The 26990-nt window shown below is 39.9% G+C and overlaps 1 long non-coding RNA gene across 2 annotated transcripts, besides 1 other annotated feature; it reads right to left on the minus strand.

Moving 5' to 3' along the window:
• Positions 19720-20292: an enhancer, noted in NCBI's record as "OCT4-NANOG hESC enhancer chr7:25869720-25870292 (GRCh37/hg19 assembly coordinates)". NCBI's record gives its function as "activates a minimal SCP1, AML or CMV promoter by ChIP-STARR-seq in naive and primed H9 embryonic stem cells {active_cell/tissue: H9 hESC(naive and primed)}" and the evidence as "EXISTENCE:reporter gene assay evidence [ECO:0000049][PMID:30033119]".
• LOC100506236 (uncharacterized) lies at positions 20911-22704 on the minus strand. Of its 2 annotated transcripts, none has more exons than XR_108752.5 (3): positions 22530-22704; positions 21386-21569; positions 20911-21179 (listed from the first exon to the last, which is right to left on the minus strand). It is a non-coding gene; the product is annotated as an uncharacterized LOC100506236 (long non-coding RNA). The 2 variants fall into 2 exon arrangements; XR_927110.3 differs by lacking the exon at positions 22530-22704 and adding an exon at positions 21682-21794.
• Positions 22705-26990: the final 4286 nt, after the last annotated feature.

The following is a 26990-nucleotide window of genomic DNA, read 5'->3' on the forward strand; positions in this document are numbered from 1 at the left end:
ATTCTCACCATGTGATATGCTGGCTCCCCCTTTGCCTTCCACCATGATTGTAAGCTTCCCGAGGCCTCACCAAAAGCAGCTGTGGGTACTATGCTTCATGTACAGTCTGCAGAACCATTAGGCAATTAAGCCTCTTTTCTTTATAAATTACCCAGCCTCAGGCATTTCTTTACAGCAATGCAAAAAAATGGCCTAATACAATCATTGATTACTGACTTCAGAGCTATGGGTAGGTTCATTGCTTTGTTTTGTTTTGTTTTATCTCCTTCACATTTCTCTCTGGCCCTCTTTGCATGGTGCTTTTAAGAGATAAGACACCATGGGTATACTTCTACAAAGCTAGCCCAGGAAGGGGCCCTTATGACATTTTAGAGCTCAGTCTATTCTTCTGCCTCCGTGCAAGATATTTACTGGAATCTTGACACTCATATAACAATGTTTTTGTGAAGCATTCCATAGCAAGGCCATGGAATTTGGAGTTAGAGCTGGGTTTGAATACTGAATTTGCTCATTCATAAATTTTAGCACTAAACTCTCTTTTCCAGACCCACCTTGCTGCTTCTTTGTCACATCCTATTGGCAGATCTCTTTGGTTGCCACTTATAGTGTCATTGTGCTTAGAAATAAATTGTCTTCCCAGTCTGCAGACTACAGGTAGGAGAGGAAGCATTTGCTGAGCCTTACCTATTGTCTCCCAGGTGTGAGAATTGGCTCTAAAGCAATAACAGAAAAACAGTTTATCAAAATCTGATTTACTTAAAAATCAATTGCTGAATGATCCATTTATCTAAATGCCCAATTCACTGAATTTTTCAAATTTACTGATTTATTAAAAACTAGTTTATTTCAACTATTTACAGAGTTTACAGAAATTTTTATTGGACAGAATGGTTTTAACAGCTATTGAAATAAGACTGCTTCAAAGTTATAATTAACTGTGTTTCATTTTCTCCTCATAATAACACAAGAAATATTCCATTGATCAAAAGAAAAGAATCACAAGGTGATTTGGTCTCTTTATTAATGTATTTAATATTAAGGCCAGGCACAGTGGCTCAAGCCTGTAATCCCAGCACCTTGGGGGACCGAGGCAGGAGGATCACTTGAAACCAGGAATTCAAGTCCAGCACGGACAACATGGCAAGACCCTGTCCCTACAAAAAAATTAAAAATTAGCCAGGCATGGTGGCATGTGCCTGTGGTCCCAGCTACATGGGAGGCTGAGGCTGAAGGATGACTTGAGCCCAGAAGGTTGAGTATGCAGTGAGCTATGATCACGTCACTGCACTCCAGCCAGGGTGACTGATAGAGCGAGATCCTGTCTCTAAAAAATATAGTTCTTTGTTAATAACCAAAATTGTATTGTTTTACAAGATAATTTTTTATTTTGTACGATTTCTTTCTCATATCTTTTTATATAAGTTTCTGTCCTGTTCCAAGTTCAAATCAAGACTCTGCCACATCTGGTCGGCCCTGGCCAAGTTGCTTCATCTCTCTGTGCCTTATTTCCCTCCACTGGAAAATGGGAATACTAATAGCAGTTACTCTGCAGAGCTGTTGGGAGGATTAATGTTGTTTATTACATATGTAAAGTGCTTAGAACAGCAACCGACCTGTAGGAAGGACCAAATGAATATAAACCATTATTATAGTTTTTTTTAAATGTCATATTGAAGCATTTCTTCCTGACAGTTACCTTCAATGAATTTTGAAAACCCCTTATTTTGATTCACTCTAGATTTTCCGCCACCAGGAAAAGTCTTTCTGCCCTACCTGTGCTGTGATATCATCTTGAATATGCCTCTATGAAGGCACATGCCAGCATCCACATTCCCCTTAAGCTGTGAGCAGAGTCCGCAGCCCATTCATCTCTGTATGCTGTCATGCCACTAGCACTGTGCCTACTGCCTGGTGAGCCTTCCAAAAGCCTTTGCCAAATGAACAGGTAAATGTTGCCGATGTACTCAGCACATGACTAGTGTCTGGGCTCATCCTTTTGTGTTGGTTCTCACTGGCTTCTATTTCGAAGGGTGGCCTTTTTGCAAACTCCTGCCTTCGTTCTGGAATACATTCTCTTCTGAGCAAACAGTTCCCATCTCCACTTAGCATCCACACCCTTCCTTCCCTTGGAGCCAAGGAACCGCAATACATTAACAGGCATGCTTATTCTCAGAGGTATCTCCCTGCGATGAGGTGTAAATTAATGCCAGCCTGACCACTCTGGTTCATTAAAGACCAGATGGTAATTTTTGCAAGAGGAGCAAATGAACCCTACTGGCCTGGCCCAAATCCAACCTGGATAATTTCCTCCTGGCTACACAATATCCTCCCTCTCATTTCAGACACAGAAATGATTTTCACTTCATCCTCAGAAACCTCGCTAGGCAGGGCCAGGCTGGCTTCTTACCACCACTGTTGCATGGATGCAGGCTAGCAAGCAGCATTCATCTGGGGGATCTGCGAAGTGCTCTGGAGCAAGTAGGGCAACGTAAATCCAAGGCTTTAATCATATATTTGGAAAAATAAGACAGTCAACTTGAATGAAAACCCTTCATCTTCTAGTGCATTTTTAAATGTTTTAAGCTACAAGAGTGACCAGAAGTTTATTGCACCTACAAAAAAAATGGGGGGATGTAATTTGGACATTAATTGTTTTTGTTAAAATCATAGAAATAATGGCTTATCCTCAGTCTAGGTAGTCCCTGGAGTGGGTCCGCTTTTGACATTCAAGCTACATAAAGTAGTCATGAATGGGTCTTCACTGGAGCAAATCCCATTTGTTATTATTATGGAGAGAAGTTGGGGGATATAGCAAGAACTATGGATGACTGCTCAGCATGCTGCTGCTTGCATAGGGGAAGAACTGATTGGCAGGACGGATGGAACCAATCAGGTTGACCATGAAATGTCCAGGGCCAAATGCCAAGGTCAAGAATGCCCAGGGTGGATCTGATTGGCACAAAGGTAAACAGATCAAGCACAAGGCATAAGTGAGTGAGGGCTGGTTAGGAACACCATTCCTCATAGGCCTGCAGGTCCTGACTCCTCTGCACGAGATTATCCAGAGCACTCTGAATTCACTCAACGCATGGACAAAGTTCCTAAAGTAGTTTATGATTATGTATTGGCTTGCCACTCTTGGAAAAACCTGTGGCTCGGAATTCTCCACACCTCCCGAGATATGGTTTGTATGGAATGGGCTGAAGCATATTTTCTCCACTCAGATAAACATCAGGCAGTCTCAGAAGACCATGCATAGCTTATTGCAGGAACGTAGGGAAGCACTGACTTGCCCACAAAAGCATTCTCTTCACCGGTAGACTTGGCTCAAATGTGGCTCAGAGAAGCTATGTCTTGACTCAAGCTAATACTTAGTAATAAAGCTTCCTGGGAAGGTAAGACTGCCAAAGTTTAAGTGGTGGGTTTTTATGACCAGGATTATGGTCCATTAAGGGACGAGGATGAAAACACCAGCTTGTTTCATTTTGATCTCTTCTCTAGGCCGAACCACCATCCTATTTCCAATTAAAGTCCCACAAGAAAAATGCTGACGTTTCTCCTACAGAAACAATCCTCCTGGCTCTTTCCCAAAAAACCCACCATCGTCTGAAGCCACATCCTCACAGCATCAAGATTCTGCAGTTTTGTTTTCTCCAAGAGAATAAATGGCCTATAAATAAAATGAGCATTCATTGATTTTTTTTAATAAGAAAAGAGAGCACATGAGATTTGTTGAATCTGAATGGGATGTGGAAACAGTGTTCCCTTCACTGATGGAGAATGAGAGTCCTTCCCATTGATGATCTTGGCTTTGTGCTGAGGAAGGTGTACATCAGCACCTAACTATTACAGTGAAACCACATGACCACGAAACATTATTCAGCTTTCACCTTTACCTTACCCTGTGTCTCAGGGAATGAGAGTGAACAACCTTATTCCTTCAGTAGTTAGTTCCAACAATGACTGCCATACCTGGCAAAGAAAGGTTCCTTCACTTCCAGACATGGTCTGGTCATTTTTGAGACCAAGGTGCACAGGTGTCATGAGGGCACTCTAGGAAAATCCTACTGGGTAAGAATACTGGGATGGAGAAATTAAACAACTATTCAACTATTTAGGAAGGCTTGGATCTGTCCCACATTTCAAAGGATGTCAATGTGATAAACTATCCTTTGGACTTTTCCAATAATGAGTTTTTAAAAATAGCTTTGCATCATGTATTGAAATAAATTTCAATCTAACCAAAGAGATCTCATATGTACATAAGGAATCTCTCAAAAGCTATTCAAAAGGAAGTAAAAGTGAATAATAATAAACTATTTTTATAAGAAATACTGAAGAGCCCTATCAAGGAAAATATCTAAAAGGTTGTAAAATAAAGTCATCCTTAGGTTAACACAAGAAAGCCCCAAGAAAGATAAGCCAATTTCTCTTTAAGAATATTTTCATCAAGCCAAGAGATTTCAAATAAATCCAAACTGAAAACAAAACAAAATGGAAGTTCTAACATCACCTGGCTTATGTGTGTTCTGTCAACACTTACTAAATAACACATTCACCTATTTCTGAACACACAAAAGGAAAATATCCTTCATGGACAGCCAGACCAAATGTTTGTTAATGGAAAATTAAGGACAAATGCAAATTTTTGCAACAACTATAATTTGGCTCAAATTGTCTTTCTGTCTCTCCTCCCCTTCCCATGACCCACCCCAGGATACATTTATCCCAAATGATTGTTTGGTTTATCTTCATACAGCAAGGCATGTGAGGCATGATATGTCCAAGGGGAAGATTTTCCTTTTTTCTTTACCCACGCTTTAAGATTTTCTAGAGGCTGGGGGGAAGGAAGATGTCTGTGGGCTGTGGGCTGTGGGCTGAGGTTATCCCCTGGCTGGGAATTGGATGAAGAATTCCTCTTTAGTAGGAATGCCTTCTCTCACAGGATGTTCAGAGGGGACAGAGGTGGCATACACTGAACCTGGAAGCTTGATGCCATCGAAATTTAAACTTGCAATCTGCTTTTATGTAATTACAGATAACAGATAAGCTGCAAATGGCCACCAAAAAAATCTCTTTCAAGTTACCATTCCCTAAAGATGACTAAATGAACTGCTGGAATTTTCAAGGAGAATTAATATTTAATGGGAGGTGTCTTAGTCTGCTCAGGCTGCCATAACAAAGTACCATGGACTGGGGGGCTTGAACAACAGAAATTTGTTTTTCCACTGTTCTGAAAGCTGGGAAGTCCAAGATCAAGATGCCAGCAGAGTTGGTGTCTGATAAGAGCTCTCTTCTTGGGTTGCAGATGGCCAATTTTTCACTGTTTCTTCACATGGTGAAGAGAGAGAGCAAGAGGAAGAAAAGAGAGAATGAGTGCTCTGATGTCTCTCCCAATAAGGACACTAATTCTATCAATCAGAGCCCCACCCACATGACCTCATCTAGCCTGAATTACTTCTGTAATGGCCTTGTCACCAAATACAGTCACATACTTAGTGGTTAGAGCTTTAATCTACTAATTTGGTGGGAAGAACAAAGTTCAGTCCGTGGTAGAGGGGTAATATTCAAAATATTTAACCACTGGATACAGGCCCCAACCAATCAGAAGAGACGCTTACCACATCTGCCAGCTGGACTGGTTCATGCAAGCTGAGTATTAGCTCTGCCCTATGAACCTGGAAACCAAAAAAGCAGAAGTCTTCCTCTTCACCTCCTCCTGGAAAAGTCTCCACTGTGTATTTAAAAGATGGCTCTGGCTAGGTGTAGTGGCTCACACCTGTAATCCCAGCACTTTGGGAGGCTGAGGGGGGAATCACTTGAGGTTGGGAGTTTAGGACCAGCCTGGCCAACATGGTGAAACCCTGTCCCTACTAAAAATATTTTTAAAAAATAGCTGAGTGTGGTGGCAGACACCTGTAAGCCCAGCTACTTGAAGGGGCTGAGGCAGGAGAATCGCTTGAACCCAGGAGGCTTGGGTTGCAGTGAGCCGATATGGCCCTACTACACTCCAGCCTGGGCGACAAAGTGAGATTCCATCTCAAAAAAAAAAAAAAAAATTAAGAATTAAAAAAAAAAAAAAGATGGCTCCTACATAGTACATTGCCCAAAATAATGTAAAAATAGTTCTTATCCAATCCTGCATGGAAGTAACATGTTGCTTTATCAATATAAATATATTTTAATTTATCAATCTATTAATAGTGTTTATCTGGGGAGAAGAAAATTGTTGGAAGCATTCATTGTATAGATTATATAGTTTTATCATGTGTGTGTATTATTTTGTAATCAAAAAGCAAGCATTCAACCTCTTTTAATTTGTAAATATGCCCAATCTTTAGTCCTTAAAATCCTAAAAAAAAAAAATCAACTACTCTAGCTTCAGAGTTTTGCCTGGGGTTTTTCCTATTAGAATTAAACTATTGCATGAAGAACTGGATCTGTGCTAAACATAAAAACAACTTTTTTCATTCATGTGGATAGTTTATTTCTTGTTCCAGAGTTGGCTTTTTTAAAAAATGTCAAAAATGACAAATTTCTAAATGAGAAATTGAAATGTTTACGAAGACCATTCTAATGGTATTCAAAGGAGTGGCTGTCAGGAGGACCCCAGCCACTCTTTAAGCATGGTTACAGTCTCTCTCCCCTAAATAATGAAATCACCCCTTTTCTTCCTCAGCATTTGAAGAATGAAGACTTATTTCCCCAAAAGGAGATGTTATGTCCACAAGGAAGACAGCCCAGATCATGTTTCCACATGGGTTTCCTGCTTGATATCTGTGTTAGTTTCACAACCTACACTGCAAGATATTTAATATTCCTTCCACTAAACACTAGAATCACTGTCTGGGCATTATGACATTTACTAATTATCCCTTGGGTGTAGTTCTGCTAAGAACCACTGCATCTAACCAAGCTAGACCACTTATAGTATCCAAAATATTCCACGCAATGCTGTGCCTCTAGACTCATTACATATTCTGTTTCTTGTAATTGAAATGTTCATCTGACCTTTCTTCTTTGTCCATTGAATTGTTATTCACCCTTCCTAACTTTGCAAAGGCTTTCCCCATTCTCCTCACACCACATTTCCCATGCCCAGCTTTGAATATTGCACTTCATTAGCCAATGAGTTTATATACAAATAACTCAAAACCTGAATAACAGTGGCTCTCAACCAAAAGACAAATAAGAAGTCTGAAAGGGAATCAATTCAAGACTGTTTCAGTAGCTCAATTTTATTATTCAAAACTCATGCCTTTTCCTTCCTTCAATCAACCATCATCAGTATATTGGCTTTTCATCTTCTTGCTAATTGACTCATGGTTGCAAGGTGGCTACCAGAACTCTAACATCATGCCCTCACACCACTGTTCCAGTTAAGTGGGAAGGAGATTATCAGAAGAAACATGTTTTTTTTTCATCTGGGAAGTAAATCTGCACTCACAGACATCTCCCTGTGTCTGGTTAGCCACAACTGTTCCACAAGAATATGCCCTTGTGAATCTCTCTCTGTAGGGCATCTGCAAACCAAGAAATCAGGGATTGGGTCTTATTCACTTTGGATTCCTCAGACTCCAGCAGAACAATAAAACAAAGTTTTCCTCTGGAAACAGAGTTTGGATTCAGCTGCCACACCCAACAAAAGGCAACTGGTATACCTGGGATCAAGACCAGGTCCCAACCATCTCTCTGTAATTCCAGCCCTTTCTTTCCCTCTCAAATAAGTCTGCAGCTCAGTATCCCTCAGCAATCCTGGCCCACTCTATATATAACTAGATGATGATAGTAAAATAACTGTTTATATTTTACATACCACTTTGCAAGGCCTTTTGTTTAACCCTAACATCTACCCTGAAGGTAAATAGTATGATCCCTATTTTACAGAGAGGAACAGAGGCTCAAGGAGGGTAAGTGTAGTTGCCCGAGTCCACGAAGCTTAAGGCAGCAGGTATAAGGTTGCATCGCAGGCCACCTGACTCTACGTCTGCTTCAGTCACTCTCTGCTTCTCACACCCTGGGGCTGCTCTGAGCTAGAAATAAGCAAAATATTGGGCAAGACTCCATGAACTCCCCGACCCTCACTACCCCACAAGGAATAAGCTCCTTATCACCATCCAAGCCCATATAGAATGAGCCCAGTGTCTAGACTGCAAGAAAGAGGCAAGAAATAGTCTTTCTCTCTCCACTGTAGAATGACTGACACATTGCAAGAGAAGGTTTCAGGGTTTCATATAGACCCAATATAAAGGACCCAACTTCTTTTAAACATAGAGAAAGTGTAAGTGTTTGGTAAGGATAATAAAATTCAATGAATAGTAACTAAACATGCTTATTGAGAACCCAAAATGGGTTGACTCCCAAACAAAATGCAAAATCAGACCTCGCTGTCTAACAGCAAACTAAGCCATGTCACCAACTACTTTATGAAATAAATATAAAAACAGACTCACACATTATTCTGAGATAACAGACACGGGTTCTTTTTAGATTTAAATCATGTACCCTATTATTAAGAGCATTAATAGAAATGTTCCCTGAATGTTTACAAGGTGTTTACTCAGTTTCTATACTGAAAGTCAGGACATCTTGGTACTGAAAATATTTCATGCCCAACAGTTATACAAAACCACTATTTCTTCGGTTTATAGCCCCTCTTAATCTCTTTGTGGAAATCTCCAGACCTCAACTACATTCCTTGAAATTTTACAGGGCACAAGAGGAACAGAAATCAGCTCAAAATGAATATGTGTATTCAGAAATGCATTGAGATTTTTCCAACTTTTCAGGTACCTCATACAAATTAATCTTCTTAAGGGCCCTGGTGGTCTCTGAATCACTGCTTCACTTCCCCACTTCTCAGCACCCCCGTTGTATTCTCTTGGTAGGAATAACTGCCAGATCATTAGGGAAGAAAAAGTTTATTGAGTCAAGATCTGGGAGGGCCCCCACAAGGTCAGGAGCAGGTACCACCAGTTTTACATAATTTTTGCATCTGCACCAATTTGATTTAAGGTTATAAGTGGAATTTATTGGTGAGTATTGTATTATAAAAAAGTGGTTTATACCACATTGTCTCATATTTATTATGATTCCGTCAAAAGTGAATTGTATACGTGCTGCCTGCAATGAGCTGATACAATGGGAGCCTGGCTTTTGAAAAACACATTTGTTCTCCTTTCTATTGTCTTTGATGGTTTACTTAGGTGAAAGAAAAATTGTTTTAAAGTTAAAACTGTATCTTTTCCTGTGGCACTAATCACGAAATGGAAATTATTAGAATTTTTAAAAAGCAGAAGGAAGTTGAACATGATGTGTTAAGATAATGGCAATAGAGAAAAATAGAATTGTTTGAGTGAAATGTGTAAAATAAAGAAATTATTTAGGATCTCCAAGAAGAAAACAAATGTGTAGAAGTGCAGGATAAACCGTTCTGTAATTTCAAGCTTCTAACAAAAATAAAAACAAAGTCACTCACTTGCCATTTCTTGTTTAGACTGTATCTCGAGGAAGAAAAGGGAATCGATGTCTACTATGCTCTCTCAAGCAGGGGGACAATTGAGAGTAACTTAATGGCCACTGGAAACTTCCCCAGGTTTGTTTGTTTGTTTATTTATTTATTTATTTATTTAGGGACAGAGTCTCACTCTGTCACCCAAGCTGGAGTGCAGTGGTGCGATCATAGCTCACTGCATCCTCAACCTCCCCAGCTCAAGCGATCCTCCCACCTCAGCCTTCCAAGTAGCTGGGACTACAGACATGCACTACCACACCTGGCTAATTTTGTGTATTTTCTGTAGAGACGGGTTTCCACCATGTTGGCCAGGCTGGTCTCGAACTCATGGGCTCAAGAGATCCTTCCACCTTGGCCTCCCAAAGTGCTGGGATTACAGGCTTGAGCCACTACGCCTGGCTGCAGATTCCTTTTTAGAAGGCAAATTGGCCATTATTATTTTTTCTATACCAACGCTGCTACTATTTCCCAGAAATTTCAAAATTTCTGGTTGATATATCTGAATTAGTAATTCCATCATTCCAAGAGTGAATTACCCACTTTAAGCTCACGGGAACATCAGAATCCCCTGAGACTACAACCAGATTCCAGTGTCTAGCTTACTCCTCCTTTAATGTGTCCTTAGTCATGGTTGTAATATTACTAGAGTGCAAAAGAGCACTACAAAAAAAAAATAATAAAAAGTTTACTTCTTGGTCGATTGCTGAGACCCATGATCAGAGGCGCCCCTAGTGGCTGCCTTAGGATGGAGAGACTGATTACCGTTTGGCCATTTTTTTTACCCAGTTATTTTATAAAGGTCTCACATAATCTCACAGGTGCACTTAATGCTTTTCATTTGGCTTAGTTTGATTTCCTCTGCCTCTTACCATTCACCATATGGTTCAATATCCTAAATGGTCTTTTTTAATATGTATAAATAAAATAATACCATGTCTGGGACTTGCCTCAAAATATGCCGGGGGACCTGTAAATGAAACAAGGTTGGCCATGACTGGTCATCTTTGAACCTGGGTGATGAGTACAAAAAGGGTTCATTATGCTTCTCTCTCTACTTCTGTATATGTTTAAATCTTTTTTCCAATACAATTTTTGTAAATATTGTTGTTAAGAAGTGTTATCATTCTGGTTTGGGGGGTTAGGGTTTTTTTCTCTTTTGTTTTGGAGAATTTACAGGTAGCTTTCTCCTGGACAGCCAGGCTAATTAATGATCTGGTTTACTCTGAGTGGCTGTAAGAGGGTGGCCATTTTCTAAGAGTCAGGATACAGACACTTCATTTTATTCTACACAGAGACTGCTACTGATCCATAAGCCAGAGCCAATGTTTAGTTTTATAAAACCCACACTTGGAATTCCCTTATAGGTAGAATTCCATCCGCTGTTCATGAAAGGCTGGTTGGAAAGAAAATGGGCCACCCTTGGCTCTCCCTACCCCAAACCTGCAAGTCACTTAGGTAGAGAAGAAGAGGCACTTCAAGTCCATGGGGAGAAGGGGACAAAAGGGAAGTGAAACAAGAGACACCTGGTTCCCAAGGGAACTTAGCTCAAAAGTAGAAGGCTGAGACCACGCTGGGTGTCAGTCATCAGCCTGATAAACAATGGGTTAACTGAGGCTGTTCTAACTTGAAACACTGAGAATTGGAGGCCCAAGAGAATGACAGTATCTGGCAAATATATCTTGAATTAAAATGAATTTCGCTTTATTCCTTTTCTCTTTCCCCTGGAAAAAAACTCTTTAGTTGAAGGATCTCCAAGGTTTTCTTGATTTTCAAAATTAATCTCTCTCTGGATCTGTTACTAGAATGCAAAGAGTGCAATTATTCCAGAATCATTTGCTTTTTCAGGGCTCTGAAGACTGGAAAGTCTCTGTGTTCTCATTGCAGCTCAGCTCTCCATTAGACCACCCTCAGAAAATGTTAATAATTAGAAAGGAGCTGGGTGCCTTTCTGAGGCTTTGTTTCTTTGTATCTTGAATGTTTCCTCTGTAGTGTTGATACTAAAACCTGCTCCATTTGTATAAAATCAGAGACATCAACAAACTGTGTCCTTACACAACCCAATGTCATGGTCGTTAGATAAAAATGATTCTCATCGCCTCAAAGAGAGATCTCCAGATTTTTTAAGCCATCCATCCCATCAGTGAAAAATTATAGAAACTGTATACACATACACATACACTTGATCTTTAACAATGTATACGAACACATAAGTTGGGGAAAGGAAACCCTATTTGATAAATGATGCTGGGAAAACTGGCTGGCCACACCTCATATTTTCATACTTATTTGAATAATTTAATTTATTTGAATAATTTAATCGAATATAAATTATTCAATTATTTACTTATAAATTATAGCCCTATTGAAATAATAGGAAAATAGTGTCAAAATATATAACAGTGTGCTATGCCCTCTTCTAAGCACTTTACATATATGAATGTTTCCATCTTTATAAGAACTCTATCAGACGGGTAATGTTATTTTTTCATTTTGCCAATGAAGAAGCTAGTGCACACAGATGGATAGTTACTTACCCAAAGGAATGGGAATGCCATTACGAAGGGGCAGAGCCAAAATTCAAACCCTGGCCATTTTGTTCCAGAGTCTATCTCTTAAGTAGTAGATTAGTACATGATAGAACAGGAAGAGAAAGAAGGTGAAAGGGAAGTGAAAGGGAAAAAAGGAATGAAAAAAATCACCAATTGATGAGATTTTTTTAAAAGAAAATTAGAAAATTTTCTTTTAAATTTTCTTCTTCTTCCAACCCCCAAAATGTATCATCTCGCACACTCCCAGGGGCTCCTACCTCCTCCCCATACCAGGTTGGAAACCATTAACCTAAATGTTACTTCCTTGTAAGCTGGTAGAAAACCCTCTGGGGGGGCTTGAGAGCTACAGATTCTGCAGCTGATCCCTAGTATTCAGTGTAATCAGGGTGATTCAGTACCTTTGATGGCATAAATAAGTTTCTATGTCATAACTGCTTGTCTAGGTGTGAACCAATGTTCTCACCATCTTCTGGCTACATTCCTGGGCACCATTATACTTTGCTTACATTCATGTTATTATTTATTCTCTGAAGAGCTTTGTCCTGTGTTGTCAGGAACCAAAGATATGCTGATTAAGGGAAAAAAAAAAAGGTGCCGAGGACTAAAGTGACCATTCACAATATAGTCTTAGAATCACAGAAGATCCACATGGGAGCCGAGGGGTTGTCTGGCACCCCGGGGCCATTGCCAGCTTCATGCCCAGCCAAAGAGGAAATGGGCACCAAACCTGATGACCAACTCTAAATGCCGTCCCTACTGGCCCTCCAGGGAAAACATTCTCATGGTGTAAGCTTTGCCCTCCCTTTCTCCACCACATTGAAGTCAGTGCCCAGGAGACATAGTGATATTTAAAAGTAGAGATGATCAAGACTTTCCAAATGCCCCAACCAAGACCAACCTCACTATGTGTCAATCCTGGTGGACTGAGAAAGTCAAGTGAGGATAAGCGCATGAAAAATGGACCTGTTGTCATCTCTTAGAAGAGGAAGAAGACGACTCACATTTTACCAAGTGCATTTAACATTCCTTATATCCTATCACTTCATGGCTGCAGAAAATGGGGAGAGTGAGGCACAGAGTGGGGCTCATCATGTCAGGACTCATACTTCTGTGAGGCCCACCTGTTTGGGCCCCTGGCTATCCTGTGACCCTACTTCCTACCACTCTCCCTTAGTGAACAGCCTTAGTCACCTTGTGCCAGTCACTGTCCCTCTTGCTGCCCCTCTAATGTGCCAAGCAATCACTATTCACAGGGCAGTTGTATATGCTGCTCCCTCAGCCAGGAATAGACATCCCAGAAAGTCACCTGCTCAGTCTCTTGTTTCATTCAGACCTCTGCTTAAGTATCACTTCCTTAAAATGCATCTTCCCTGGCCCCTTCATCTATCATAGCACCTCACTCTACATCCATCACCTGCTCTATTTTTCTTCAAAAGCTTTATCTCTAGGCAATACAAAATTATACATAGATATTTGCTATATTGATGTCTCCCCTGACAAAAGAAGGAAAACTCCATAAAGACAGGAACATTCTCTAGTTTGTCCTGAAACACATCCTCCATGCCTATAATGGTGCCTGGTACACACTGAGCATTCAATAAGTATCTGTTGAATAAATTTCATGAGGAGAGTAGTCCAAACACAAGTCCCTCTAAGTATAAAACTCCTACTCTATTCTCCCTTCATGGGAACAATCCATATGACTTATTCTCAGGGCCTGTTGCTTGAGAAAGAGAGTCCTCTTTCTCTGCACCCCCAGCCCCTCAATACACATATACACAGCCACCGTCTGGAACCGCCACCTGCCACTTCCAGGTGAGGCTGAGACATCAGCTAAGGCTGCACAGCACCACTGTCATCCTGCTCCGGTTACCTCTCACTGTATGGAAGCCTGACAGTTCCCTCCGAGTGGCACCATCTCCCCTCTGCCCTGGCTCTGCATTACAGCGTTTCTTCTCTGAATCCATCATGCAGAACAATGGATTAGCAAACACCCAACGAAAATGCAAAGAACATTTCAGACATGGTGGAGGCAGACACAGCCATGTCAGCATGGAATGTCAGAGACAAGGCCAAGAAGATGAAAAACTGCACAGATTCAATAACCGAGAAAATTCCAGAAATCAGGTCAAGCCAAAGATGGCTTTTCAGTGAACATTAAATCAAATCCTCTATCAAGTACTGTAAGGTCCTTGGAGGACAAGGGTATAATACCCACTGTCTCCTCTCTGGGGATTGGTATACGTATCACTTATGTTTTCATTTAAAAGCATGAAATGAGACTTTAGAAAAATAATAACATTGACCCTAAAAGTGACTGAAATTGCAGCTTAGTAGTTTGCCTCTGTGATTTTGGTGGGTCTAAAGAGCCTTAAAGTAGCAAATGTAAAGAATTAGGGGTGATAAAATTCAGCTGGGAATAACTTTCTTCTGAGCAAAGAGTTTTATCTGAAATTGTTGTGGGGCAGATCAAGGTCTTCTTCATGCCAGGAGGCTCATTGCATTGTGCATTCTTCTAAGGACAGAACAGGATGTTCCAAAGAGCACTTTTCATGATCCTGACCAATGAATCAATATGTTCACTGCTCCTGCAACTGTCCATTTGCCAATGAAGGGAGAAGCAAGTGCTCTGTGGCCCTCACTTCCATCAGAACTAGTTCTTCCCTACACACCTGATCCTTTCTGTGATTCCTGCCAATGATGAGAACAAAGAGAAAAAAGGCAGACTTTTCAGAGAGTGAAACATGAGGTTATAGATGGGGCTAGGAAACATTCTCACCAAGATAGGTGTCCCGGGTTCCTGCCATGCACACATCTTCTTGGATGTTAAGAATTAGTAAGTTTAGGGAGATTTGATAGCCTAAATTATAAATGAAGGTAAAATGCCTATATGAATGAATAAACAAAACTTGGTATATCCCATTCAGTGGAGTATTATTCAGCCACAAAAAGGAGTGAAGTACTGATACACACTGCAATGTGGTGAAAACACTATGCTAGGTGAAAGAAGGCAGTCACAAAAGACAGCCTATTGTATGATATCATTTATATGAAATGTCCAGAATAGGCAAATCTATAGAGACAGAAAATAGATTAGTGGTTGCCTGTGGCTGGGGGGCCAAGAAGATGAAGGGATGAGGTGTGACAAGTAAAGGACAGGGGGTTTCTTTCTGGGGTAATGAAACATTCTAAAATTGACTGTGAAGATTGTTGCACAGATCTGTGAATGTACTAAAAACCATTAAATTGTACACTTTATTAATTTTTTTTTAGATGGAGCCTCGCTCTGTAACCCACACTGCAGTGCAATGGTGCAGTCTTGGCTCACTGCAACCTCTGTCTCACAGGTTCAGGTGATTCTCCTGCCTCAGCCTCCGGAGTAGCTGGGATTACAGGCATGCACCACCACACTTGGCTAATTTTTTGTATTTTTAGTGGAGACGGGATTTCGCCATGTTGGTCAGGCTGGTCTCGAACTTCTGGCCTCAAGTTATCCACCCTCCTTGGCCCTCCCAAAGTGCTGGGATTACAGCCATGAGCCACAGTGCCCAGCCTAAATTGTATGCTTTAAATGGGTGAATTCTATGGTATGCAAACTATATCTCAATAAAGCTATTTTTTAAAGCAAAACAAGATGAAATTCCTAGTCTGGACCTGCCATAATCATCTTAAAATGCATCTCAGAGTATTGTTTTCAAATTGTGCATTGGTCATGGAATCAACTTAGTGCACTGTATCAAACATTTTTAAAAACTAAAATAGACAGACCTACAGTTAGTATCATAGTGAATGGGAAAAAAACTGAAAGCCTTTCCTCTAAGATCTGGAACAAGACAAGGATGCCCACTTTCACTACTATTATTCAATATAGTGCTGGAAGTCCTACCTAGAGCAATCAGACAAAAGAAAGAAAGAAAGGGCATCCAAATTGGAAAAAGGAAGAAGTCAAACTATCCTTGTTTGCAAATGACACGATCTTATATTTGGAAAACCTAAAGACTCTACCAAAAAACTGTTAGAACTGATAAATGAATTCAGTAAAGTTGCAGGATATAAAATCAAGATACAAAAATCAGTAGCATTCCTATATGCCAACAGTGAACAATCTAAAAAAGAAATCAGCCAGATGCGGTGGCTCATGCCTGTAATCCCAGCACTTTGGGAGGCCGAGGTGGGCAGATCATGAGGTCAGGAGTTCGAGACAAGCCTGACCAACATGGTGAAACTCCATCTCTACTAAAAATACCAAAAAAAAATAAAAAATTAGCCAGGTGCGGTGGCATGTGCCTGTAATCTCAGCCACTCAGGAGGCTAAGGCAGGAGAATCGCTTGAACCCAGGAGGTGGAGATTACAGTGAGCCGAGATCGCACCATTGCATTCCAGCCTGGGCAACAGAGCAAGACAGAAAGAAAGAAAAAAAGAAAGAAAGAAAGAAAGAAAGAAAGAAAGAAAGAAAGAAAGAAAGAAAGAAAGAAAGAAAGAAAGAAAGAAAGAAAGAAAGAAAGAAAGAAGGAAAGAAGGAAGGAAGGAAGGAAGGAAGGAAGGAAGGAAGGAAGGAAGGAAGGAGGGAGGGAGGGAAGGAAGGAAAGAAGGAAGGAAAGAGGGAAGGAAGAAGGAAGGAAGGCAGGCAGGCAGGCAGGCAGGCAGGAAGGCAGGCAGGAAGGAGAAAGAAAGAAAGAAAATAAGTCACGTGTACAATAACCACAGATAAAATACCTAGGAATAAACTTAACTAAAGAAGTAAAAGATCTCTATATTAAAACTATAAAACACTGATGTAAGAAGTTGAAGAGGACACCAAAAAATGGAAAGATATTCCATGGTCATGCATTGGAAGAATCAATATTGTTAAAATGTCCATACTATCCAAAGCAATGTACAGAGTCAATGCAATCCCTATCAAAATACCAATGACACTCTTCACAGAAATAGAAAAAAAATCCTAAAATTTATATGGAATCACAAAAGACCCAAAATTGCCAAAGCCATACTGAGCAAAAAGAACAAAACAGAGGAATCACATTACCTGACTTGAAATCATACTACAAAACTATAGTAACCAAAACAGCATAGTGCTGGCATTAAAACAGACACATAGACCAGGGGAAGAGAAGAGAGAACCCAGATATAAATCTATACACCTACAGTAAACTCATTTTTGACAAAGGTGCCAGAAACACACTGGGAAAAGGACAGTCTCTTCAATAAATGGTCCCAGGAAACACTGGCTATTCATATGCAGAAGAATGAAACTAGACCCTTATTTCTCATCATATACAAAAATCAAATCAAAATGGACTAAATACTTAACTATAAGACCTCAAACTATATGCAAAATTAAATGCAGAAATCATATGCAAAAATCAAATCAAAATGGATTAAATACTTAACTATAAGACCTCAAACTATAAAGCTACTACAAGAAAACATTGGGGAAACTCTCCAGGACATTGGTCTGGACAAATATTTCTTGAGTAATACTACGTAGGCAACCAAAGCATAGGCAACCAAAGCAAAAATGGACAAATGAAATCACATGAAGTTCAAAAGCTTCTGCATAACAAAGGAAACAATCAACAAAGTGAAGAGACAGCCCACAGAATGGGAGAGAATATTTGCAGACTATCGATCTGACAAAGGATTAGTAACCAGAATATATAAGGAGCTCAAACAAGTCTACAGGAAAAAAAAATCTAACAATCTGATCTTTAAATGTGCAAAAGGTCTAAATAGGCATTTCCCCAAATAGGACATAGACATACAAATAACAAACAGGCATATGAAAAGATCCTCAACATCATTGATCATCTGAGAGAGAAATGAAAATCAAAACTACAATGAGATATCATCTCATCCCAGTTAAAATGGCTTTTATCCAAAAGACAGGCAATAATGAATGCCGGCAAGTATGTGGAGTAAGGGGAACCCTCGCACACTGTTGGTGGGAATGTAAATTAGTACAGCCACTATGGAGAACTGTATGGAGGTTCCTCAAACACTAAAAATAGAGCTACCATAGGATCCAGCAATCCCATTGCTAGGTATATACCCAAAAAGAAGGAAATCAGTATATCAAAGAGATATCTGCATTCCTATGTTATTCACAATAGCCAAGATTTGGAAGCAACCTAAGTGTCTGCCAACAGACGAATGAATAAAAAAACTGTGGTCCATATACACAATGGAGTACTATTCAGCCATGAAAATGAATAAGATCCTGTCACTTGTAACATGGTTGGAACTAGAGGGCATTATGTTAAGTGAAATAAGCCAGACACAGAAAGACAAACTTTGCATGTGTTCTCACTCATTTTGGGGGAGTTAAAACAATTGAACCCATCAAAATAGAGACTAGAATGATAGTTACCAGAGGCTGGGAAGGGTAGTGTGGGGAGATGGAAAATGGGGATGGTTATTGGGCACAAAAATATGGTTATATATAATGAATAAGATCTAATACTTGATAGCATAACAGAGCGACTACAGTCAGCAATATTTGCTGTACATTTTAGAATAACTAAGGGAGCACAACTGGAATGTTCATAACACATACAAATGATGGATTTTTCAGATGATGAATATCCCCATTTACCCTGATGTGATTAAACATTTTATACCTGTAGCAAAATATGTCATGTACCCCATAAATGTATACACCTATTATATACCCATAAAAATTAAAAATTAAAATTTTTCATAAAGAAAAAACTAAAATAAAAACAAAATAGAACATAAAATATCAGATTGTATTGCACAGAATAAAGATAAGTATCATCTCCCAAAGCTTTCCTTTCCTGTTGGTGTGTGTCTAGTGTGTCACAACGTGCTAATTCAAAGACACGTGACTTGTGTTTTATGAAGAGTCTCAAGCAAGCAACATACTTTCTTCATCTGTCTGATCAGTCTTGGTGACTCTTGCACAACCCTAGACAGTTCAAGGTTTGTCAATTTACTCATCAATGTCCAGAGTCAAAGCTATCATCCAATTTTCCTTGTACTGCCTCCAGAATTATCACACTTTGTGTCTGGATCGGTGACACAGTAGTCCAGGCTCTGCCACCAGTCTCAATGACAGAAATGTTTTAATCTCTCAAACTATCATTCTGCCAAGTCTTTTTCTAGCATGCTGGGGCATCTACCCTCCTCCACACCAAGTTCATGCTAACTGCTTGCATGGGGTTCCCCGCCAGACAGCTGAGAGAACTCGACTCTCAAAACTGAGTTGCTCCTAGGAAATCCCTTATTTCTCTATTTAAACTTTCATTGATTGATTTCACAAATATCTTCTGCCTACTACATGGCACATGCTCTAGGCAGACAATGGTCAGCAAGACAAGAGTGGCCATTGCCCTGCAAAGTCCCCTGCCTTGTCAGATGTCAGAGTCCAGCTGTCACAAGACAGGTACAGTCTCAAGTTCTCTTTAGGACTGACAAGCATTTGCTGCATGACCTTTGGCAAAATATTCCATCCTGTCACTCAGAGGTTTGATTGCTCAGAAGTTGTGTTTTCTGGCCTACTGAGAATCACAGGATCTTAGACCTGGCAAGGCCCTTAAAGAGCAGATTCTCTATTTACTGATGAGGAAACTGAGCCCCAAGAGGTGTTATCCTTTGCCCACGGGGACACATGACCCACTAGGAACATGTGTGCCAGCACCCCCAGCCCACCCCAGGACTGCCCCCCCATAGTGAAGCTGAATATGATCAGTTCCTTATGAAGAATTGAGAGACCTTCAAAAGGAAGTACCCTACATCCTGAACTTTTCAGAGAGATGGGTGGTGCAAAATGTTCAAGTGACAACACACGTGGAAAAAAAAAAAAAAAACCAAAGGCATATTTGGATCTTGCAGAAGGGTTTTCAGCAATACAAAGGCACAAGAATGAGAACAGCAGGAGTCCCACTTACCAGGAGCATTCCCTTAAAGCCTCATGTGTGCCTCCTAATAAATCTGCTTTTTCCTTTTTGAAGTTTAAGCGCTCCCTTATTGAGCAGTCTCCTGGTAGCCAGGAGTCCCCTAGGAAACAATTGTCTTGCTTCCAGTGCTGGGGCACTCAGACTCTTGGTTTGGTTTGGTTGGTTGGTTGATGGGTGATTTTTCCCTCCCTCTATCTTCTTAAAACTCCAGCCAGCATATAGGGGTTTTTCGTTTAGCTTCCTCAGATCCCCAGCCATTTCCCTAAAAGTCCATCCCATTAAACATGAAATCCACAGAACACACACCAAGCTACTTTTTCTCTCCCCTAATAAATCAGGTAAATTACCTCTTTTGTTTTTAAGACCATTTCAAGTTCGCCTTTAACATTTTTAGTTAAGGCATTATTTATGTTGTGATTTAATCGAGATTTAATCCACTTCTCAGCACACCATCGTATCGCAATATCCCTGAATTTTTTGCCCATATTATTAAACTTGAGGAGCACGGTAATGTTTTCCTCAGGCATGACACTGATCATTTCCAGATTGTGCATGTCTCTCTGGCTTTTTAACACACCTGAGTTTCTAAGGCCCACTAAAATAAATAACGGTTTGGTCTGCAAAGAACTGGGGCTGCATTAATAAATGCAGAGAGATCTATGTTTATCTCCACTTTCTGAAAACATAAGCGTCTTCTACAAATATGAGTATACACAGCAGAAATCATGTGAATCTCTTGGTAAATGTTTGCCTTCACATCCTGGGGTATGCTGCACACCAGATGGTTTGATCAAAACAAAATCATACACACACACACACACACGCGCACACACACACACACACACACACATGTTTGAGCACCATGCCTCCTCATTTTTGTGACTTTTTTTCTCCTTTCATGCATGAGAAAGAATGTAGAAATACTTAGAATAATGACCAGTATGTTCTGTGTTTACTGCTGCTTTCCCTCACTAGAGATTAACTCATAAAATTTTACTCCAAATTAAACAAACTGAGGCTCTCCTTGCAGCCAGTCAAACTGCCACTTATACCAAAGGAAATCTTAACTTCCATCTCTGAGAGTTTGAACGGCCACCCCTGCGGAAAGATAACAGGGTCTCTCTTTTCCTCTCTGTGTTCTGCGAGTCCTTGGAGGTGCCAAAATACTTGTCTGGACTCTGGCCCCCAGGGCACTTCATCTGCAATTAGAATGGAAACTGTATTTTAGAACATTAACATCTCTCCTGCTGTTTTTTTTTAATGATCTGATTGCTCCAATTATAGTTATTTAGAGAAATCGGACAGTCAAGGATTTTACCAGTAGGTAGGCAAGAAAGCACCTTTGACTGTGGCAGAGGACTTGCAAAGACAATTGTGTCTAGGAAAGACTTAGGAACTGTCTCACCATCCTGTCTTCTCAGCTGAAATTTCTCTGGGGATGATTAGATGTTGTCTTTGAAAAATCCAAATGGGAGAATGTGTATAAAACTACCCCGTTCTGTGCCTTGAGCACAGTAAGTTTTCAATGGACGTTAATTCCGTTGGAATCCCAGGCTTGAGACTGCAATCCAACGATGCATGTAAAAGACCTTGAGAAAGAAAACAAAAAGGCTCAAGGTCATGACCTCACCAGTCTTTTTGTCTTCCTCTCTATATTGCTCGTGTTTCACAGCCTTCAGCCCCAGTAAACAACATTTTTACCTGGAAGGAGCTTAGAGAGGACTTTAATTTTAGAGGGGCATTTACAAAGATCCTCTGATGCAAGCTCCCTGCTTCCTACTGCTAAAAGTCTGCTTCTTTTCAACAGTGCCCGCCTGGAGCCATGGTTGTGTTTTTGTGTGGTCTCATTCCTGTTTTATGGATTGTTCATGTACCCTGGAATCCCTGGGATACTTCAATTACAAAAATTACCATGTGCTGGGTTCCTTTCGGGTTGACAAGACTGCTTTCCTCTCTCTCTAAGCCGGGTTGTGTTTGTTTACATAGGAAATGTACTCTTTCTTAACATTCACTGTTTCAACATCCACTTAGATAGCTTCATTAAAAAATGGGTTAAAAAATAAAGAAGGGTGGCAAGAAAAGGAAAAAAAATACATCTTTCTATTTCAACCAAAAATTTGGTTCAGAACAAACTTGGAAAATCAGAGGATGTTTTTCTTTTCATCGCTGAAACAATGCTCTGCTTGTTCTCCCCGGGCAATGAGAACTACCCGGGCTTGGATCAGTGGGTCACATTGTGCAAAGTGTTTTTCCTGTTTAAACTATGTGCTTTCTTAAATGTTATCTTTTTGGAAGAAAATTAGATAACCTTATGTCCCCAGACTATATCGTATTTGTTTGAATAGGAAATGCTAATATTTTTCTACATGTTTCGTATCGGTGTCAGTGGAAACTCAGTTTGGTGGTTAAGACAGGCCCCTCTAAGCTCTGGGAATCACATTGGCTATCTTCCAGAAGCCAAGAGGTTCACGGTGATTTTGAATAATCATCTCCATAGCTATGTGAAGTATCTATATTACTTAGCCAGAAGAAAACAAAATTATATTTACCTTTTCTGTATTTAATTAATTTATCTTTAAATATGTCATTTGATGAGATTTTCCTTCTTAATTTCTCTTCTCTTTACCTCCACCTCCTGTGTTACTTCTGCTTTCTACTCAGTCCTACCAATCAACTCCCCAAACTTCCTGCAACCTCTACTTAAAGATCATGCTTAATTAGTCATTATACCCAAGGATCTCTGCCCCATCCATCTGTTTCTGCATTCCCATTGGTCTAAGCCAATGCCTGTTACATCACAGCCCCACCCCTGCCCATGACTAGAGGCTCCCCCTTCCCACATGTCCCCAGTTGTGTTCAGGCCCCTTTATCTGACATTCTTGGAAGCAGAAATAGCAGCAGAAACACATTTCTGAAACAACAGACTCCCCACGCGAACAAGGTCTCTACTAAGACACATCAACCAAGTCCTCTGAAAGCAGCACTGCCCTATCTAAATTTTTTTAAAGTGAAGCTTGTCATTTGCACTTCAATCTCCATTTTTCAGTACCTTCTCTTCAAACACACGTGTTTACGTACTTAATACCATCTTGCTTCCCCATATGAAAATCTGCTCCCAGAAAATCTAGCGTCAGGCATGTATAACTTAATGCAAATTTAAGTTGGTGTGTTCCTTCTCCCAAGGGTACCTCAATTCTAAGCCCTGTATCTAACTAAAGAATGAAGATGTGTCCCCTCTTGATCATGTTTTAGCCGTCGGTGCTCAGATGGGAGAGATGGCACTTTCGACAATAAGACACACTCTTTCATGACTTTATTGTCACAAAAACATACCACGCAAGTGCTTTTCTGCTCCACTAGAACAAGAAAGGCCTCCTAAAAACCCTAAGTGTCTGTTTAAACTCAAAGCTTTAAACCTGAGACCCTTCCACCCTAAATGATAACACTGCTCTCCTGTTGCTCTATAATCAAACCAATAGCCTTAACTCTATATCTGGCAAATACAAGCAAGTAGCAATCATGCCCTCTGTTAAGTAAAGCACAAAAACAACAATGAGCAGAGGTGGGCTCATTGTAAGCCATGAACCTTAAGTCTCGGGGCCCTTCGCTTGCACAGGCCCCTTCCCAAACCCTAGGCAGGGGACCTAGCAATTTTGTATGCGTGATTTTACATTCTTTTTAAAGAAGGCCCCAAAATTGTATAAGCTTCAGGCCACATACAGCTTTTAGATCCACCCTGTTAGGGACTGAATTGTGTTCCCCAAAAATTCCTATGTTGAAGACTTAACTACCAATGTAACTGTATTTGGAAAAATAGGGCCTTCAAAGAGTTAACTGAAGTTAAATGAGGTCATAAGGGTGGAACCCTCATCCAATATGACTGTTATCCTTATAAAAAGAGGAAGAGACACTAGGGCTTCATGCACACAGAGAAAAGCCGCCATCTGCAAGCCGAGGAGTGAGGTCTCAGAAGAAATTAAACCTGTCTACACCTCAATCTCGGACTTCAAGCCTCCCGAACTAGCAGACAATCAATTTCTATTGTTTAAGCCACCCAGTCTGCAGAATTCTCTTATGGCAGAATCCACACCCCTAGAAATTAGATACCATTTTTTAACTTTTCACTATAAAATTTTCTTAATGTTAACATTCAGTTTAACACTGAAGTATAGTGAAATAGGTAATCAAACATACATTGCTGACAGGACATGATTCAACACAACTTTTTGGAAAGCAAATATTAAAAGACATAAAAATACTCGTTTTCATTACCCCAAGAATTCTTCTGGGACTCTATCCTGACCAAATAACTCAAAATATTTTAAAAACTATATACACAAAGAAGTACATTAAAGTATTATTTACAATACTTGCCCATAACTGGAAGCTCCCCCTTCCCATGAATTACAAGTTGTGTGGGCCTTGGGTTTGTGGAGGAATCTGCCAGGGACTTTTAAAGATTCCCAAATTTGACTGTACATCTATATATGAAATTGTGTTGGTTTATTTGCAAAAATGGTTCCAATAATTCTTTCCATTCCTGTCTGCATGCCCCTCTGCCCTGTGATATTTCTGCCCCACCCATCAAGAAATAGAGTCTCTTTTTTCATCCTTTGATCTGGGTTTGGCCATATGACTTGCTTTGGCCTGCAGAATATTAGCAAATATGATGCAAGCAAAAAAGGCTTGAAAAACGCTTGCACATAAATCTTGTTTTCTCTTTCTGCACCTGAAACCATGAGACCTTAAGGCAAATAAGCCCAAGATAGGGCTATGATGCTAGAGAGGAAACATACTGAAAAGCCAAGGCACTGGCCAACAGCCTGCCAACCCAACTATGTGATTGAGTCCATGCTAGACCATCTAGCTCCAGCCGAGTCTGCCCGGGCCAGAACTCTCCCAGCCATCTCAGCCAGCCACAGAATAACGCACTAAATAATAAATGTTTGTGGTTTTAGGCCTCTAAAATGTGGATGGTTTGTTATGCAGCAAAAATTAACTAATACAATAATTTCCCCCTGTAAAATGCTTGTGGGACAAATTGAGAATAGGCAAACTATGTTAATATCTTTATACTGAGTAAGCAGTTGGTGTTCTAGCTGGTGAGCTCCTGAGTTCCAGTCTTGCGACTCACATTCCCCCAATGCTTCAGTAAAATTACTAATTACCACATTCCATGGACCTCTGGATTGCCTGAGAATACCTGAAATCTTGAACGATAAATCTGCATATGCTTATAGTCTGGTTTAGTTTAAAACTGGAAATAGGCAGAAAGCTCTACATTACACACTTCCCTTTCATTAAGCCACTTAAAATTATGGCTATGAAGACAATGTAGAAACATGGGGAATATATTAATGCAATATTAAATGAGAAGAACAAGATAAAACACTGTCCTTAAATTATTATTATAAATATGTAAAGAAAAATAGCTAAATAGTTACAATGAGGAAAAAGACTATAAATAATTGTGCCAAAACACATTAGAAGCTGCTTTAGGATGTTAGATTATGGGTAAGCAGTATTTTATTTTATATATTTGCTGTAATATTACCTTCATAATTAATTATATTCGTAAGTTTAAAAAATTAATATATAATAATTTTAAAAATTAAAACCTGGATATGGGTATAGCCCGTCTGTTTGCTGTATAATTTTTAACCATACAGACTCTCTCTGCTAGTTTAAAACCATAATTTCCCAGAATACGAAATGAAGTTTTTATTTATTTGGATCTTACTAATATTACACTGGAATTTTACATAAATCTGTTTAGAATCAATTTAAACTACTTTAAAGACCAGGACCTGCCCAATTTCACTAAGTTAATAATTATTAAAGCCTCATGGGTGAGGCCTTGTTTGATTCAAATGTAAGCTGAGGGCCGAGGCAAAAATCATGTTGCCACGTTTTTAGGCCATAACTATACTGAAAAATAGCTCTAGACCCAGTTACCTATCTTGGAATGAGCAGATCTTATTCTCCTGAAAAAATGCTGTATACGACCAAAACTTTTGTTAACTAGTATGGATTTATACCCACAGCCAGGAAGGCATTATGAGAGAAAACAATAATAAAATCAGACAGTTTGAGTGCTTTTCTGTGGCTCCCCCTTGGACAATCTCTTTAAAAACAGCAATTCCTTTGACTTTTGACCTCAGCAATCTCCTATTTTTGAGCCAGTCTTCCCCCATCTCACATCCATCATTGTAAAATATGTCAAAATGAGTGAAAACATGGATTTCATCTCCAAGAAGTTTTCTTGTGAAACTTAAACAGAAAAGATTCTAGTCCATACGGGCTCCAGCCTCCCCCAACTATCACCATAGACTTCCCACATCACTGCAGTCAGCTTAACGTAAATTCTTAGGAGAACCATGTCAGTCTCTGTTAATAAACATGGTTCCAGCACACAAATTCAATTGCATTATGAAATCTAATATGTCAAATGGCAAAACCATAACACACAAAGTTCATGTAATCAGAATATTAAACAACTGTCACTCAGTTGTAATACTTTCAATTCCGCAACAGCAAATGGCTCCATTAATAAGTAAAGCAGCAGGATTCAAATGGCTTTCTGCTCTTATCCGCCTGGGGCTCCACCACCACACCAAGGTGGTTTTAGGAGTCAAACTTGATTCCAGGAAAAGATCTGCCCTGAAAAAAAGGGGAAAGAAACTAACCCTATAACATTTCAAGCCAGAAGTGTAACCATTTGCCAATTGCCTTCTTTTACTCGCCAGATACTGTACCTCTGCCCAGTTGAGTGTCAAGTCTTTAAGACTGCAGAGGTGAACTGGAACCCTTCAATATGAGACTTGTTCTGTACACCATGTCCACAGCAGCACTATTCACAATACCCAAAACGTGAAAACAATCCAAGTGGACATAGATCAACAGATGAATGGATAAGCAAAACCTGGCACGTTCATACAATGGAATACTATCCCAGTGAAACATTACTCAGTCTTAAAAAGGAACGAAGTTCTGACTTTTTTGGATCTTAC

Source organism: Homo sapiens, chromosome 7 (genome assembly GCF_000001405.40).
Source record: "Homo sapiens chromosome 7, GRCh38.p14 Primary Assembly".
NCBI lineage: Eukaryota > Metazoa > Chordata > Mammalia > Primates > Hominidae > Homo > Homo sapiens.